The 18115-nt window shown below is 36.8% G+C and overlaps 1 long non-coding RNA gene across 1 annotated transcript in view; it reads right to left on the reverse strand.

Annotated features, from left to right (window-relative positions):
• Positions 1–18115, reverse strand: part of LINC02438 (long intergenic non-protein coding RNA 2438) — a 238399-nt gene that overhangs the window by 104325 nt on the left and 115959 nt on the right. Inside the window, exon 2 of the long non-coding RNA XR_001741605.2 lies at positions 10748–10847. This is a non-coding gene — a long non-coding RNA (long intergenic non-protein coding RNA 2438). The remainder of the gene's footprint in view (positions 1–10747; positions 10848–18115) is intronic.

Raw genomic sequence — 18115 nt, forward strand, 5'->3', positions numbered from 1 at the left:
TATAAAACAAACATAATGCCTTCTCCAAACTGCCTTTACCAAAATGAATGAATTGATTTGATTAAACAAATATTTATTGTACACCTACTATGTGCTAGACAAAAGGACAAACTTCAGATGAACAATGCAGCGGGGCAGCAATTTTACAGCATTTCACCATTAATTTTATCTCTACTTATCCCAATACGTACTTCACACTGTCTTCTCTTTTGCTAAATCTCCATGTTCTTTCTTCCGTACATCATGTTTTATACATGACATCCGTCGCTCATACTTCATAGAGAAATACAAACTGTGTAAGACTTTCTTAGCATGCCACCTACGAACCTGTAAGCCTACATGAATCTGAATTCATCCTTTCCATTCAATTAATTGGCATTCGTTGCATAACCACTCGAATACTTAATATCTTCAAACAACAATCATTTAGTAGCTGAGAATTCTATGACAAGTAAAGTTGGGATCAGCCGGGCAGTTGTTCTGCTGTTTCCTTCTGGGCTGAGTCATGTGGCTATAGCAGGCTGCCTGCTCTCTCACAGCTAGAAGGTCTAGAACACGGCTTTCTGATACCACAGACGCTGGGCACATGTGGCTATTTAGTACTTAGATAGAAGGTGATATGCTACAAGTGTAAAACACACATCAGGCTTTGAAGACTTAATACAAAAAAGTAAAATATCTCAAATATTTTTAATGTTAAGTGTGTGTTTAAATGCTAATATTTGAATATGTTGGCTTAAATAAAATATGCTATTAATTTCACTTATTTTTACCTTTTTTTATTTTTACCTTTAAAACATATGGTAAAATACACAAAGCATATTTACCATCTTTACCACTTTTGAGTCTACTGTCTGGGCATGTTAATTACATTCATATTGTTGTACAACCAATCTCCTCAATTCTTTTCATTTGCGTAATAGGAACTCTACATCCATTAAACAATTTCCATCCCTCCTTTTTCCCAGCCCTTTGAAACCACCATTCTCCTCTTTGTCTCTATAAAGTTGATTACCATAGGTACCTCATATAAGTGGAATCATACAGTATTTTCCCTTTTGTGACTGGCTTTTTTTTACTCAGCTTAACATTCTCAAGATTCACCCATTTCTTTCCTTTTAAAGGTTGAATAATATTACCTTGTATGTATTTACTGTATTTTATTCATCTATGTATTCTTTCATGAACACTTGGACCACTTCCACCTCACTCTTGCATATCAAGTTGCTATGAACATGAGTGTACAAATATCTATTTGAGTTCCTGCTTTCAATACTTTTGTGTATATACTCAGAAGTGAAATTGCTGAATTACCTAATAATTATGTTTTATTTCTTGAATTGTCATACTGTTTTCCTTATCAGTGGCACCATCTCACATTCCCACCAACAGACCTAAGTGTTTTGATTTCCCTTTACAAACACTTGTTAATTTTTTTTTTTTGATAGTAGCTATCTTAATGGGTGTGAGGTTGCTAGCATTCATTGTTAAGTGATAGTTTCAGTAGAAAGGAATTCTCTGCTGACTTTGCAGATATTGTTCCTTGTATTCAGGCTTCTATTGCTGCTTCTCAAAATTTAACTGTGGGTATCATTAATCATCCCTTATTGGCAAGTGCATCTGTTATTTCTTTCTGAATGCTTTTAAGATTGTCTATTTGTCTTTAATGTTCAGAACTTTTATTCACATGTCTAAGTGTTTGCTGATCTATTGAAATGTATTTGTCAGGCCAAAGCTGACATCCAGCCTGCCAAGTAAAATAAATAAATCTCTGTTCTCAGTTTTTAGATACACTTTAGCCTTGCTCAACAGAAATAAATACTATCATATATCTGAAATATTATCTCACAGTCTGTGACTGCCCATTTTCATAGCTTTCCTTTTATTATGCTAGCTAGTAATTCCTGGTCAATTTTTTTTTATATTCCTTATTCTTATCTGACCTCTAAATATTTGATATTTCCAAACCTTTCACTCTCTTTATATACATCTTCTCCCTAGGTGATCACATACAAGTCCATAGATTTAAATATCAACTATATGCATATGATTCACAATTATGTAACTCTGCCCCAAACTCTCTTTTGAGGTTCATATACATATGACAGATTTGCTATATAGAGTGACATTTGAAATGTATTAACAATGTCCTTAAGGCCTATTCACACTATCCTAACATGTTTCTCACTCAGTGGTTTTCATAGAAATAAATGCCATTAGTATCAAGCCAGATGCTCAAGCTGAAACCAGTTAACCTTCTCTTTATCCCCTGCACCTAAACTCTGAGCATATTCTCCAAGTAATGTCTCCATCATCACTGTATATTCTTAGCTGGATCCACTCTTACCTCTAACCTGATTACCTCCAATATAGTTCCCCAGACTGGTCTTTTCATATTACCTTCTACAATCTATTCTATTTTAAATGGAGACACCCTTTGAAAAATGTAAATCAGATCACATTTCTACCCTGCTCAAAAACATCCAATATACTTAGAATGAAGTCCACACAGCCTAATGATAGCCTATAAAACTTAGCATGGTCTGGCCTTGGCCCACCTTTCCAACATCTGCTATTGCTCTCTTCTTTGCTCACTAGGGTGCAGCCATGCTGTTTTCCTATGCAGTGCCTTGACCAGGCCAACCTCATTTGTGCCTTGAAGCCTTTGAATTTGTTGTATCTATAATTGGGATATTCTTTGTTTTTTTTTTTTTTTTTTTCAGCCTTCGGGTCTCACATTTTATTGTAGTCAGCCCTCTGTCCTATCTTGAGTGGCACCATCCTCCCATTCCTAGTCAATATGACTTAAGACATTTTATTTTCTATGAGACACTTCTTACCATCCAATGTCATCCTGCATATTTAAAGTTTGCCTCTTTTAACAAGACCATAAGTTCCATGGGGACAGAGAACATGTTTACCTAGGACCTATCATGATGACTATCATAGAAAATGCTCATTGTTTGCTGAATTAATCTTAAATAATTGATCAGAAAACAAATGATGAATAAAGCATCTCCCAGCATCATCACAGTCTAATGGTGTAGACTGGCATGAAAACATAGCCTTCAAAATAATAATAAACTATAACAATATGAAAGATGATGAAGGATTGTATGTACAGATACTACATATAATTTTCACTTTCTGTAATTGTTTTTGACTCTGATTTTATACCTAATTTATATTCAGAAAAGTGACTTATATAAAATAAAAGTCCACATCTAATTAGATAATAGACTCTGTGTCAGAAACGTCTGGCTCCTTTCAGATAAAGAAGGACTGGTAAAGCAGCTTCTGGATTTTCAAAATAAATTATATTCCAGAATTACTTATATGACAGAATCAATTCAGTCTCTCCTCTCACTTCTTTGAGTCCCACTTGCTTTCAGTAGCTGCAAGTCTTGGCAGTTTTTTAATTGTATCTCATACAAAACATTGCTAATAGTGTTTGTCTAACTCTAACATTACTCTCTTCACCTGCATCCTTACACAACTTCTCTCCAGCACTTCAGGACCTTCTTGATATCTGTAACTGCTCCTCTAGCACTGACCTCAAGCACAGGCTCTAGTTTTATCATCAGAGGATAAAGACTTCATCAGAGGATCAAGTCAGTCTTGTTTAGAATAGTACAACGGGGGATAGTTCCAAGAAGAATGACAGCTACATGGGCTAGAATAGTGAGGGGTGACTTTCATGGCTGGTTTCCCATCCTCATGAGCACAGAATAATGAATCTGATTCCATCTCTGTAAGCTCAGGACTTATCATCATAGATGTGTAATAATGAAAGGGGTTCATACAAAAGCAGTATCACAGTCACACCATCTACTCTCTTAAAATGCATTTTAAGTCCCCTACTTGTAAATGCTCACAACAAATAAGATTCATTCCTTCAAAAAATAATTATAGAAGTGTCACTTTCTTCCAAGCACTGTTCTCACATTGGGAAATCTGCAGTGTATACGAAAAACTGGAGTTTTCGCCCTCATGAAGCAGATATGCTTGTGTGTTATGTGTGTGGGGGGGCAACAAACATAAAAATATATATCTGAAATGTATCGAGTGCATATATGAGCCATAAACTGTTCTAGCTAATACACTGCAGCATTTTTTTTTAAAAAAGATATCAAATTCTATGAAAAAATAAAGTTAAGTAATAGGATACAGAGTGATGATGAAAACCAAGAGGGTCAACTAAAACATACTGTGGTTAGAGATCAACATCAAGTTGAGATTTGAATGATCATGAGGTGATAACTATGCAAAGATATGGGGGAAGCAGAGGCATAGGAAACAGTGCAAATGCACCAAGCTATGAGCTTGGCTTGCCCAATGGAAAAAGTCAGTATGCTTGGAAAATAATGAAAAAAAGGGAAGTAGTAGGAGATGAGATTGTATAGGTAGGAGAGCCCAATATCTTTTAGATAATGGTGGAAAGTTGGATTTTATCTAATCCATGGATATTCATTATTCATTGGGCATTCATGAAATTAATTTTTCATAGGAATGTTGAGTACAGAAGCCTAGCCCTGGTCAATGCGTCCAATGCATTTGCAAGCAGTTGTTTTGCAAAGAGTTATCCTTGTTAATGTTGCCTTGAGTCAGAAACCCTGGTTGCATTCCTTGATTGTGTCATCCATCACAGTTAACAACATAACTTTACAGGAAATAGATCCTCCCTGATCAGAGTTGACTTTCACTGTCCAGTTACAATCCTATTGGGACTTTGCTAAATGAAATGTCTGAAAACTCCCTGGATGAATGAAAGAACTATTCTTTTCCAAACACAACAGACTATGACAAGAAGACAAATTTAATTTTGTATTAGTTATATTTGGTCTGGTTAAAACATTTTATTTCCTTTCAGATAGATAGACTTCCATAGAAACTGTTTTGATGAGTGTTCCCATTAGGTCTTTGAAGCATTCTTAATTGGTAAGTCCAAGTTAAGAATGCATTTAATCAAATTACTAAATTTTGAGTGTATAAAGGCTCTGGCAAGGTTTATACACCAATCTCTAAATATGATCCTCAATATATATACCACTGGAGATGTCTCAATCATATTTTGGTCATATTCTAGCATTAGAAAAAAATGTATTTAATTAATATATTTTGTGTTGATATTTTCACCACATGTGGTCTTGATTTCGTTATCTGGACAGTTTTTTACATTCCTTATACAGTCATGCAACACCACTACATGGCTAGCATATCCTGTCCTAACTCCTGTCTAAATTGAACAAACACAATGCTCAAATTTTTTCCATTCATATTGGTTGCTTACCAGGGTTACAATCCAACAATCTGATTGATCAATAGCCTCCTTAAAGTGTTATGTCCAGAAAAAACAAAATATTTCTGACATGCCCTAGCCAAAGACAAATAAATACTATCACCTTCTTTTTGAAGCCTTTCATTCCTTCTGATAAACTAAAAACTAAGATATCTGCTGCTTTAAGACTTTGTCTTAAATTACCTTTTTGCATTAAACACTTGCTTTGTGAGCTTATAGATGTCTTTTTTTTTTTTTTTTTTTTTTTGAGATGGAGTTTTGCTCTTTTTGCCCAGTCTGGAGTGCAGTGGCACGAACTTGGCTCATTGCAACCTCTGCCTCCTGGGTTCAAGCAATTCTCCTGCCTCAGCCTCCCGAGTAGCTGGGATTACAAGCATGCACCACCACACCCGGCTAATTTTGTATTTTTAGTAGAGACAAAGTTTCTCCATGTTGGTCAGGCTGGTCTCGAACTCCTGACCTCGGGTTATCCTCCCGCCTTGGCCTCCATAGGCGTGAGGCACTGCGCCCGGCCTATGGATGCCCTTCTTAAGGCCTGTGGATCTTTCTGTTTATAATAATAATGGATAATGATAGATAACATCACAATTACGAACTATGTGCTAACTTATTTTATGCTCATCCCTGGAATACTGTTTTTTATCCCCGTGTACTGATGGATGTTTGGGCAAAAAAATGAATAAACGGATGAGTGGTCTGACCATTTTCCCACCTAGTCTGGTGCTGGAAGCGGAACTCAGACGTGATTCCCATTTTTGCAGAATGAGGCTTTCAGTATGCCATTTGATTACTTGATTAATGGAGAATATTGTTCTTCGAATAAGAGACGCTTAGGTGCAGAAAACTTATTTAAAAGTATCAAAAATAATGCTACAATGTATGCAACAATAAATATTTAACTTCTCTCTAATTTAAGGGGGCTTGCTCTCCTTAAAAAATCAAATCACTCCATTTAGGCAATGCCTTATTTCCTGCACACTCCAGCAGCTGTACCTGCCCAAATCCACTGGGCATACAGGCAATCTCTCAGGATCTCAGGCTAGGTAATTATAGGGAGCTGTCCATTCTTGTTCCTTCACACTGGTGTGCCAAACAGCCTTTCAGTCAATCTGGGTAGTTTCTGGGAATTATCCCTGTCTTCTGTAATTCCCGTAAGGCAGCAGCCTACGTATTCCCTTTTCTTAGCACACAGAAGGTTCGCCTTCATTTGCCATCGAGATTTAAGGACAGCACAGCCTAACTCCCAAATTTAATTTCAGACACATGTGCCTTGGATCAAATATCCTGCTGGCCCCTGTCCAAACCTTCTTTTTTCACCTTGGATTTCCTGACTTAATTACCTCAAACTTAGATAAAGCCAAAGCCAAATTGTATGAAAAAGTCATATCTTTAGCCATTATGGTATGGAACATGCTTCAGATTTGAAGCAATTGCAGAACATTAGCTGCAGTAAAACAAGATACAATACTCGCTCCTAAAACAGTTTTCCTATTCAGCATTTTACTGGGTGTGAATATGTTTTAAGTTATCTTCCTCTACATGCCATCTTTGTCAGTTTCCAAGTAAAGAGGTCTGTGTAGCAAGACCTGGACTGGAATTGTTGAAGGGTGACTCAATAACCACCTTCATTATACCAAGTGTGATTATATGGAGGATGGTGACCAGCTGTTCTCCCTCTCTGATGAGGCAAAAATGAGAGAAGGAGGGCATAAATTGCAGCTGGAGGGAATTCAGATGATATAAGGAGAAACACTGGGGTAGCAAGCATGGTTAAGCAGAGGAGGAGTTAGCAGAGCAGTTAATTCCTTCCCTGACAATGTGTCTGGAATAGTTTGTTAAACTTTACATAAGGCAAGGAGTTCACATAGATGACTTTGACAGAACTTGCTGGTTCCAAGATTTTGCCTTCATTCCTCATGTGTATTTCAATTGGTGCTCTCACCGTCTACTTTATGATGTTAATCATTTGCAAAAGTTAAATCAATGAAGGCATCACAAAATTAGTCAGCTAAAGGAGTTATATAATGCAGAAACTATAAAAACTGGCTTTAGAATCAGGCAGAGAGGAGTCCAAGCTAACTATTTATTCATTTTCTGGCCTTAGGCAAGTTACTCGTGTTTCGGGGTTTATTTTACAGTGGTGGTGTGAGAATTAGATAACATATTTAAAAAACACAAAATAAAAATGAATGAAAATATTCTCATTTTAACCAATGATTTTTGTAGACTTTGTAATTGTTGCTTCAGAACATAGATTAGACTTGTTTACATAGCATCTCTTGATTTTCACCATAACCTTTGAGATTGAGGTTTGCTATTTTGTAGTTCTAGAAACTGAGGCTCAAATAAGTTGAGGGACTTGTCCAAGGTGACACAGCTAATGAAGATGATTTAGAAATTCAAATTAAAACTACTGCTTTCATCTCCAGATCTAGAACCAATTATTTCTATTGTTTCATTATTTATCACACTCCATCTTCTAAAACCTGTAAATTTACTGTGACAAAAGAAGAGAATGATCATAACTAACATAACTGTGACCTTTTTTTTCAGAATGCCAAAAATAAAACCACTTAAACCAGATTGTTCTAGGGATATCTTAATTTGTACTTGAAAAACAAAAGGTCTGACATTTGTTTTATGACAATTTTTCAGCTGCAAAGTCTTTACTTAGAAAGTTCCCTTTTCTCCTTGAATATACTAAAAGTATTTTATAATAACCTCAGCATCACTGACATTGACCAACTGGGCCTAGGGCAATATCTTTATTGGCCGTTATTTTTATAACCAGATTTCTATATCGGCATATCTTTATTTGAAGAGAGAAAAGCTACTTTCAGGAGTGAGAAGGCATACTGGAGTAGCTTCCCTAGGAGTAAAATTCTCAACAATGTGGATTACATTGGAAGAAATTAATTATCATGTATGCCACGGTTCACCTGCCCCTAAATTGGTGGTCAGTGTTTGCTGTTCAAGTGATCTTTCCCACATTGTTTTTGAGACTCAAAGAGTGATAGAAAATGTGTGATAGCTTTCCTCAGTTAGGGTTCCTCATCTCAATTGCACAATCCAGAGAATAATTCCAGTGCCTACTATTTCAATCCACCCAAGATGGTACATATGTAATGCCGTTGTAGATGTATAGGAAAGAAGGTCTCTCATTGGATCGAATGGTTGTCTCTTAGAACAGTAGCAATTTATGGTCTTGTGTAGTCCCTGTTTAGAAAGGCTGTTAAGAGAAACTGGGCACTTAGCTTTTCCTTACTCAATGGGCTCCCTAAACGTTTCCATCTTCCTAGGATCCTCCAGTTTCAATAACCATGGGCAAAATACAAACCATGCCAAAAGTCCCTCATCATCCACAGGCCTTGATACAATGTATAGCCTGCTTTGGCTTTGTTTCACAATGAACTATTAATAGTAATGTCCAGTAAAAAAATGAGCATTAAAAAGCCCTGAGTCCTGAGAATAAAAATGTTTATGTAAATTTAATTAATACTAAATACATTTTATGTGCATATAACTGTGCTAATTTCATAAGGAAAAAGAGTATTGCGATAAGCCAGTTCCTGCCCACCACCCACATTATTATTCAGCTAAGATGTAAAGATTTTATTCATAATATATTTAGAAACAAAAGAGGAGGATAGAATACAACTAAATGCCATCATGATAAAAATAAATAAATATCAATTTACAAGATAAAATTCAATATGTAGGTATTCATATATTGGATCTCCCAAAAAGCCCAGATTTTGGATAGAATATACATTGTATATTGCTAAAATTCTGGTTCACAAGGAGGGCAATATATTACAGAGACAATATAACTAAGAATATAAATAGGTATATATACAGTAATACAATATATATGGAATATATATGTATACACATACACATATATACATATATAATTAAATTAACAAAAGTGTATGTATCCCACAGTCAACTGTGGGAGGCACAGTAGCTCAGTCAGAAATAGGTTAGAATTGACTTGGTTATTCTGGGCTCTGTTGAAAGTGCACAAAAGGAAGCTATAATGAAAGCTTGCCTCCCTAGTTTGGTTGTACGGTGATAGAAAATCCACTGTTGTCATCCGGACATGTCTTTTTCCAGTCTGTCCAGACAGGAGGGTGAGTTAGGGGTGTGGATATCAAGAAAATCACTATAAAATCTTATGGTTGACATCTTTACCCGGCCTGAGAAGTACTGTAATTAGGTAGAACTAAATATACCTTATGTTCTGTGTGTCTACAATGTGGCCAGAAATATGGAGGTTAGGTAATATCAGTACTCTACATAGAGCAGAGGCTTTAGGGAATCCACCCAAGAGTTCAAGATAAAATTCCAGCTCTTCTAACAGTGATTTAACTGTGGGTTTGTCAATCATCAAATCTCTGTGTTCTTACCTCAGAAGTGTGAATAATACATAAATTTGCAGGGTTTTGGGAAAACATTAGCATTTACATACATACACTACACATGCCCAATACATGATAGTTATTTTTTGGATAAATACTTGAAGTCATTTCTCCCCCTAACTGTAATAAAAATATATAAAATCCTGCATCCATCCTAATTTGGGGGATTGTCTGTTTACCCCTGACTGTCTGATTATCCCTGATTTGGGTAATCTTTCTTCTTTACTGTCATTATATATGGTGTTGTTAAGGAGGGGATACTTGGTACAACACTTGGAAATAAACATTGCTTCCTACATCATCCTTCTGCCTGTTCTTTCATTGAGTAGGAAGAATAGGCTGGGCATGGTGGCTCACACCTGTAATCCCAGCACTTTGTGGGGCCGAGGTGGGAGGATCACGAGGTCAAGAGATTGAGACCATCCTGGCCAACATGGTGAAACCCTGTCTCTACTAAAAATACAAAAATTAGCCTGGCATGGTGGCGGGTGCTTGTAGTCCCAGCTGCTTGGGAGGCTGAGGCAGGAGAATCACTTGAACCGGGGAGGCGGAGGTTGCAGTGAGCCGAGATTGCGCCACTGCACTCCAGCCTGGTGACAGAGCTAGACTTCATCTCAAAAAAAAAAAAAAAAAATATATATATATATATATATATATATATATATATATATATATATATATGACAAGGTGCCTTAAAAAGTTGACCAAAAATTGCATTTTATGATAAATACCATGCCCATGGAATGGTCAAAATATTTTTCAATCCAAATGCCTGCAGATGTAGGTGGAACTGGAACAGCAACTTAATTTTTCCTTGTGCTACACAGGACTTTCATTTAGGCCCTAACCAAAGTCACTGAGTCACTGTAATTGAATAAGAAAGAGAGCCCAAGCAAAAGGAAGTGTAAAAGGGAACTTCGGGAAGTTAAATTGGTAATAGACTGAAAAAGCAAGGAAAACTGGTAATGAACTGGCAACCTGAAGCATGGCATTGAGCCTCATACAAATTGTAACTGAAAGTCATTACCTCCTGTGAGCTGCCCATTCGACTGTTAGAATGTGTCTCCAGCATTGATTCAGTTTCCGCTGGTCACAAGCCCAGTGTAGGGTCTCTTCTTCTAGGACACCTGTGGCACAAAACCGGGCAAAGATTAAAGAAGTAAATAAAAGAGAGGAGGAAAGAGGAGCACGTGCTGGATTAGTATAAAGAGAGTGTAGCCCTTTGCCCTGGATATGTTCTCTAAATAGGGACACCCATAAGGCAAGAGTGTTCTGCTTGAAAAGAAATGGCCCCCACATATTCAATCCCATTCACAAGCAGCAGCGAATAAATAACAAATAAGCAAAAGGTAAACAATTTTTAAGTATCTATTTTGGAAACTTCTACATCTTCAACATATTAGGAGGGATTACAAATGACCATAGAACTTAAGTGCAGTTGGCAACAGGAAAAAATGACTATTTAGAGGATATTAGAGGAGACTGGATACATTTTCATAATAATAGTAGTAATAATAGCAAGAACATTGCAATAGATTGAACAGCTATTGTGAGAGAAAAACTTTACATGAATTTCCCATTTAGTTTCCACAAGAATCTTACTAGTTCAAAGGAGAAGAAGGGGAATGAATGCTTTAGGTTGAATTGTGTCCCTCAACCAAAATTCACATATTAAAGACCTAACCGCTAGTATCTCAGAATGTGAGCAGATTTAAAAATAAAGTTATTGCAGATGTCACTAAGATAAAGTCATAGTAGAGTAGGATGGGCCCCTAATCCAATGTTATTAGTGTCCTTGTACAAAAAGAAAATTTGGACACACACACACACACACACACACACACACACAGGAAGAATGCCATTGAAGCTTGGAATTGTGCTGCCACAAGTCAACACAATACCAGAAGCTAGGGAAGGATCCTGGAATAGATGTCTTCAAAGGGAACATAGTCCTACCAACACCCTGATCTCAGAATTCTAGCTTCTAGAACAGTGGGACAATAAATATCTGCTGTTTTTTTTTTTTTTTAATTATACTTTAAGTTTTAGGGTACATGTGCACATTGTGCAGGTTAGTTACATATGTATACATGTGCCATGCTGGTGCGCTGCACCCACTAACTCGTCATCTAGCATTAGGTATATCTCCCAATGCTATCCCTCCCCCCTCCCCCGACCCCACCACAGTCCCCAGAGTGTGATATTCCCCTTCCTGTGTCCATGTGATCTCATTGTTCAATTCCCACCTATGAGTGAGAATATGCGGTGTTTGGTTTTTTGTTCTTGCGATAGTTTACTGAGAATGATGGTTTCCAGTTTCATCCATGTCCCTACAAAGGACATGAACTCATCATTTTTTATGGCTGCATAGTATTCCATGGTGTATATGTGCCACATTTTCTTATTCCAGTCTATCATTGTTGGACATTTGGGTTGGTTCCAAGTCTTTGCTATTGTGAATAATGCCACAATAAACATACGTGTGCATGTGTCTTTATAGCAGCATGATTTATAGTCATTTGGGTATATACCCAGTAATGGGATGGCTGGGTCAAATGGTATTTCTAGTTCTAGATCCCTGAGGAATCGCCACACTGATTTCCACAATGGTTGAACTGGTTTACAGTCCCACCAACAGTGTAAAAGTGTTCCTATTTCTCCACATCCTCTCCAGCACCTGTTGTTTCCTGACTTTTTAATGATTGCCATTCTAACTGGTGTGAGATGATATCTCATTGTGGTTTTGATTTGCATTTCTCTGATGGCCAGTGATGATGAGCATTTTTTCATGTGTTTTTTGGCTGCATAAATGTCTTCTTTTGAGAAGTGTCTGTTCATGTCCTTCGCCCACTTTTTGATGGGGTTGTTTGTTTTTTTCTTGTAAATTTGTTTGAGTTCATTGTAGATTCTGGATATTAGCCCTTTGTCAGATGAGTAGGTTGTGAAAATTTTCTCCCATTGTGTAGGTTGCCTGTTCAATCTGATGGTAGTTTCTTTTGCTGTGCAGAAGCTCTTTAGTTTAATTAGATCCCATTTGTCAATTTTGGCTTTTGTTGCCATTGCTTTTGGTGTTTTGGACATGAAGTCCTTGCCCACGCCTATGTCCTGAATGGTAATGCCTAGGTTTTCTTCTAGGGTTTTTATGGTTTTAGGTCTAACGTTTAAATCTTCAATCCATCTTGAATTGATTTTTGTATAAGGTGTAAGGAAGGGATCCAGTTTCAGCTTTCTACATATGGCTAACCAGTTTTCCCAGCACCATTTATTAAATAGGGAATCCTTTCCCCATTGCTTGTTTTTCTCTGGTTTGTCAAAGATCAGATAGTTGTAGGTATGCGGCATTATTTCTGAGGGCTCTGTTCTGTTCCATTGATCTATATCTCTGTTTTGGTACCAGTATCATGCCGTTTTGGTTACTGTAGCCTTGTAGTATAGTTTGAAGTCAGGTAGTGTGATGCCTCCAGCTTTGTTCTTTTGGCTTAGGATTGACTTGGCGATGCGGGCTCTTTTTTGGTTCCATATGAACTTTAAAGTAGTTTTTTCCAATTCTGTGAAGAAAGTCATTGGTAGCTTGATGGGGATGGCATTGAATCTGTAAATTACCTTGGGTAGTATGGCCATTTTCACAATATTGATTCTTCCTACCCATGAGCATGGAATGTTCTTCCATTTGTTTGTATCCTCTTTTATTTCCTTGAGCAGTGGTTTGTAGTTCTCCTTGAAGAGGTCCTTCACATCCCTTGTAAGTTGGATTCCTAGGTATTTTATTCTCTTTGAAGCAATTGTGAATGGGAGTTCACTCATGATTTGGCTCTCTGTTTGTCTGTTGTTGGTGTATAAGAATGCTTGTGATTTTTGTACATTGATTTTGTATCCTGAGACTTTGCTGAAGTTGCTTATCAGCTTAAGGAGATTTTGGGCTGAGACGATGGGGTTTTCTAGATAAACAATCATGTCGTCTGCAAACAGGGACAATTTGACTTCCTCTTTTCCTAATTGAATACCTTTTATTTCCTTCTCCTGCCTGATTGCCCTGGCCAGAACTTCCACCACTATGTTGAATAGGAGCGGTGAGAGAGGGCATCCCTGTCTTGTGCCAGTTTTCAAAGGGAATGCTTCCAGTTTTTGCCCATTCAGTATGATATTGGCTGTGGGTTTGTCATAGATAGCTCTTATTATTTTGAAATACGTCCCATCAATACCTAATTTATTGAGAGTTTTTAGCATGAAGGTTGTTGAATTTTGTCAAAGGCTTTTTCTGCATCTATTGAGATAATCATGTGGTTTTTGTCTTTGGCTCTGTTTATATGCTGGATTACATTTATTGATTTGCGTATATTGAACCAGCCTTGCATCCCAGGGATGAAGCCCACTTGATCATGGTGGATAAGCTTTTTGATGTGCTGCTGGATTCGGTTTGCCAGTATTTTATTGAGGATTTTTGCATCAATGTTCATCAAGGATATTGGTCTAAAATTCTCTTTTTTGGTTGTGTCTCTGCCTGGCTTTGGTATCAGAATGATGTTGGCCTCATAAAATGAGTTAGGGAGGATTCCCTCTTTTTCTATTGATTGGAATAGTTTCAGAAGGAATGGTACCAGTTCCTCCTTGTACCTCTGGTAGAATTCGGCTGTGAATCCATCTGGTCCTGGACTCTTTTTGGTTGGTAAACTATTGATTATTGCCACAATTTCAGCTCCTGTTATTGGTCTATTCAGAGATTCAACTTCTTCCTGGTTTAGTCTTGGGAGAGTGTATGTGTCGAGGAATGTATCCATTTCTTCCAAATTTTCTAGTTTATTTGTGTAGAGGTGTTTGTAGTATTCTCTGATGGTAGTTTGTATTTCTGTGGGATCGGTGGTGATATCCCCTTTATCATTTTTTATTGTGTCTATTTGATTCTTCTCTCTTTTTTTCTTTATTAGTCTTGCTAGCGGTCTTGTGGTCCTTGCGATGTCAGCCCTAGGAGACTAATACAAGCAGTTTGAGAGATGTTAATCAGTTTTTCAAACCTTACAGAGCCAGTCACTTGTGGAATTGCGATTTGAACAATGACCTCTCACTCCAATCCATTTATGTATCCACTTAAGTTCCCCTGTTTCTTCAAACCAGTGCACGGCAACAGGGAAAGGGGTCTGAAATAATGTTTGGTACTACACACTTGATACCTGATTTTGCTTTACAAATCATATCCATGCCAGTGGTTCATCCCACCTCTCCTTCAACATTATTGTACAGATATCTCCTTGCCTTCCAAGACAGATCATTTCAGTTTTGAATAATCAGCAAAGTTAGAAAGCCAAGAATTTCACTCAAAGCTTAGTTCAATCTTAACCTCTGCAAACTTTTCCTCAAATAACCACATCTCAAATTCAGAAGAACTAAGAAATCATTTAGAATTTACTCAGTGCAGCCTATATAGTTCCTTCTCTTTCTGCTTTACTCTGATTTAATAAAGCAAGACAATTTAGTGACTTTGAGCACTTGTTCTCAAAGTGTGGTCCCAAAACCTGAAATATCCGTGCCCCTCTCCCTCGAAGAAATTGTCAGAAATGCAAATTATCGCCCAACCTGAGGACTGCTGAATCAAAAGTGTGGATGAACCAGCAATTGCATTTTAACAAGTCCTCCAAGTGATGTGATTCACACCAAACTTAGAGAACCAACGGCAGAGGACAGATTCAGTCCTGTATGAAGAAGAAGGCTGATGCTTAACTACAGTCTTCTGATTGTGTTTGTTCCCATTCTATGGTAGTTTCTTCCATAATAAGATATATCAGACTATAATATTTATATCAGACTATCATATTAATGATTAATAGAGTAGAAGAAATTGTGTAGGAATAGGAAATTAAAGCTTTCTTAAACTAAAGAAAAAAACAATATAAACAGAGTGAAAAGACATATCATGTGCCAGGTAAAAATAAACAGACTGTACCTAGGAAAATTAAAAATCATATTATTATTATGAAAAACAATAGCATCTGAGGCCTTTGTTTTGTTCTAATAGTCTATATGTCTGTTTTGGTACCAGTATCGTGCTGTTTTGGTTGCTGTAGCCTTGTAATATAGTTTAAAGGCAGGTAGCGTGATGCCTCCAGCTTTGTTCATTTTGCTTAGGATTGTCTTAGCTATAAGGGCTCTTTTTTGGTTGCATATGAAATTTAAAGTAGTTTTTTCTAATTCTGTGAAGAAAGTCAATGGTAGCTTGTTGGGGATACCATTAAATCTGTAAATTACTTTGGGCAGTATGGCCATTTTTATGATATTGACTCTTCCTATCCATGAGCATGGAATGTTTTGCCATTTGTTTGTGTTCTCTCTTATTTCCTTGTGCAGTGGTTTGTAGTTCTTCTTGAAGAGGTCCTTCACATCCCTTGTAAGTTGTATTCCTAGGTATTGTATTCTCTTTGTAGCAATTGGGAATGGGAGTTCACTCATGATTTGGCTCCCCGTTTGTCTATTACTGGTGTATAGGAATGCTTGTGATTTTTGCACATTGATTTTGTATCCTGAGACTTTGCTGAAGTTGCTTATCAGCTTAAGGAGATTTGAGGCTGAGATGATGGGGTTTTCTAAAAATACAATCCTTTCATCTGCAGAGACAATTTGACTTCCTCTCTTCCTAGTTGAATACCCTTTATTTTTCTCTTGCCTGATTCCCCTGGCCAGAATTTCCAATACTATGTTGAATAGGAGTGGTGTGAGAAGGCATCCTTATCTTGTGCTAGTTTTCAAAAGGAATGCTTCCATCTTTTGCCCATTCAGTATGATATTGGCTGTGGGTTTGTCATAAATAGCTTTTATTATTTTGAGATATGTCCATCAATAGCTAGTCTGTTGAGAATTTTTAGCATGAAGGGGTGTTGAATTTTATCAAAGACCTTTTCTGCATCTATTGAGATAATCATGTGTTTTTGCCATTAGTTCTGTTTATGTGATGGATTTCCTTTACTGATTTGCATATGTTGAACCAGCCTTGCATCCCAGGGATGAAGCTGACTTGATCATGGTGGATAAGCTTTTTGATGTGCTGCTGGATATGGTTTGCCAAGATTTTCTTGAGGATTTTCGCATCAATATTCATCAGGGATATTGGCCTGAAATTTTCTTTTTTTGTTGTGTCTCTGCCAAGTTTTGGTACCAGGATGATGCTGGCCTCATAAAATGAGTTATGGAGGAGTCCCCCTTTTTTATTTTTTGGAATAGTTTCAGAAAGAATGGTACCAGCTCCTCTTTGTACCTCTGGTAGAATTTGGCAGTGAATCTGTATGGTCCTGGGTTTTTTGTTTGTTTGTTTGTTTGTTTGGTAGGCTATTGATTGCTGCCTCATTTCCAAAACTTGTTATTGGTCTATTCAGGGATTTGACTTCTTCTTGATTTAGTTTGGGAGGGTGTATGTGTCCAGGAATTTATCCATTTCTTCTAGATTTTCTAGTTTATTTACTTAGAGGTGTTTATAGTATTCTCTGATGGTAGTTTGTATTTCTGTGGGATCAGTGTTGATATCCCCTTTATTATTTTTTTATTGTGTCTTTTTGATTCTTCTCTCTTTTCTTCTTTATTAGTCTGGCTAGCAGTCTATTTTGTTAATCTTTTCAAAAAAGCAGTATCCGGATTCACTGATTTTTTTGAAGGATTTTTTTATGTCTCTGTCTGCTTCAGTTCTGCTCTGAACTTAGTTATTTCTTGTCTTCTGCTAGCTTTTGCATTTGTTTGCTACTGTTTATCTATTTCTTTTAATTATGATGTTAGGGTGTCAATTTTAGATCTTTCCCGCTTTCTCCTGTGGGCATTTAGTGCTGTAATTTTCCCTCTAAACACTGTGTTAGCTGTGTCCCAGAGATTCTGGTACGTTGTGTCTTTGTTCTTATTGGTTTCAAAGAACATTTATATCTGCCTTAATTTTGTTATTCATTCAGGAGCAGGAGTAATAATTCAGAAGCAGGTTCAGGATTAAGAAACTCACTTAAAACTGCACAACTACATGGAGGCTATATACTTTTATCAAGTTATATCAAATTATATGTCTGATGAATTTTATTGCCTGTAAATGACAATTCAATAAGACTGATATCACAAAAAGTAAAAATAAAATATAATAAAAAGTATACTCTTCAAACTAAAGTTTTAAGAAGAAATTTTTGAGGGAAAAAGATGAATTTCTAGCCTAGTTGGCTTTCATACCTAAGAAAGTAACAGGAAAATATATTCTTTGAGATTAAGAAAGCACAAAATGCTACACATGTACAATTATTAAAAGCATACCACACCCCCACACACAACATGTTTTCTGGACAACATACCCTTAATGAAAGAAAAAAAGAAAGAAAACAAAATCAAATACTCATAAAAAGGAAACTACAGCATAATATCCCAGTTGCTCATTCAGTAC

This window comes from Homo sapiens, chromosome 4, assembly GCF_000001405.40.
Source record: "Homo sapiens chromosome 4, GRCh38.p14 Primary Assembly".
Classification (NCBI taxonomy): domain Eukaryota; kingdom Metazoa; phylum Chordata; class Mammalia; order Primates; family Hominidae; genus Homo; species Homo sapiens.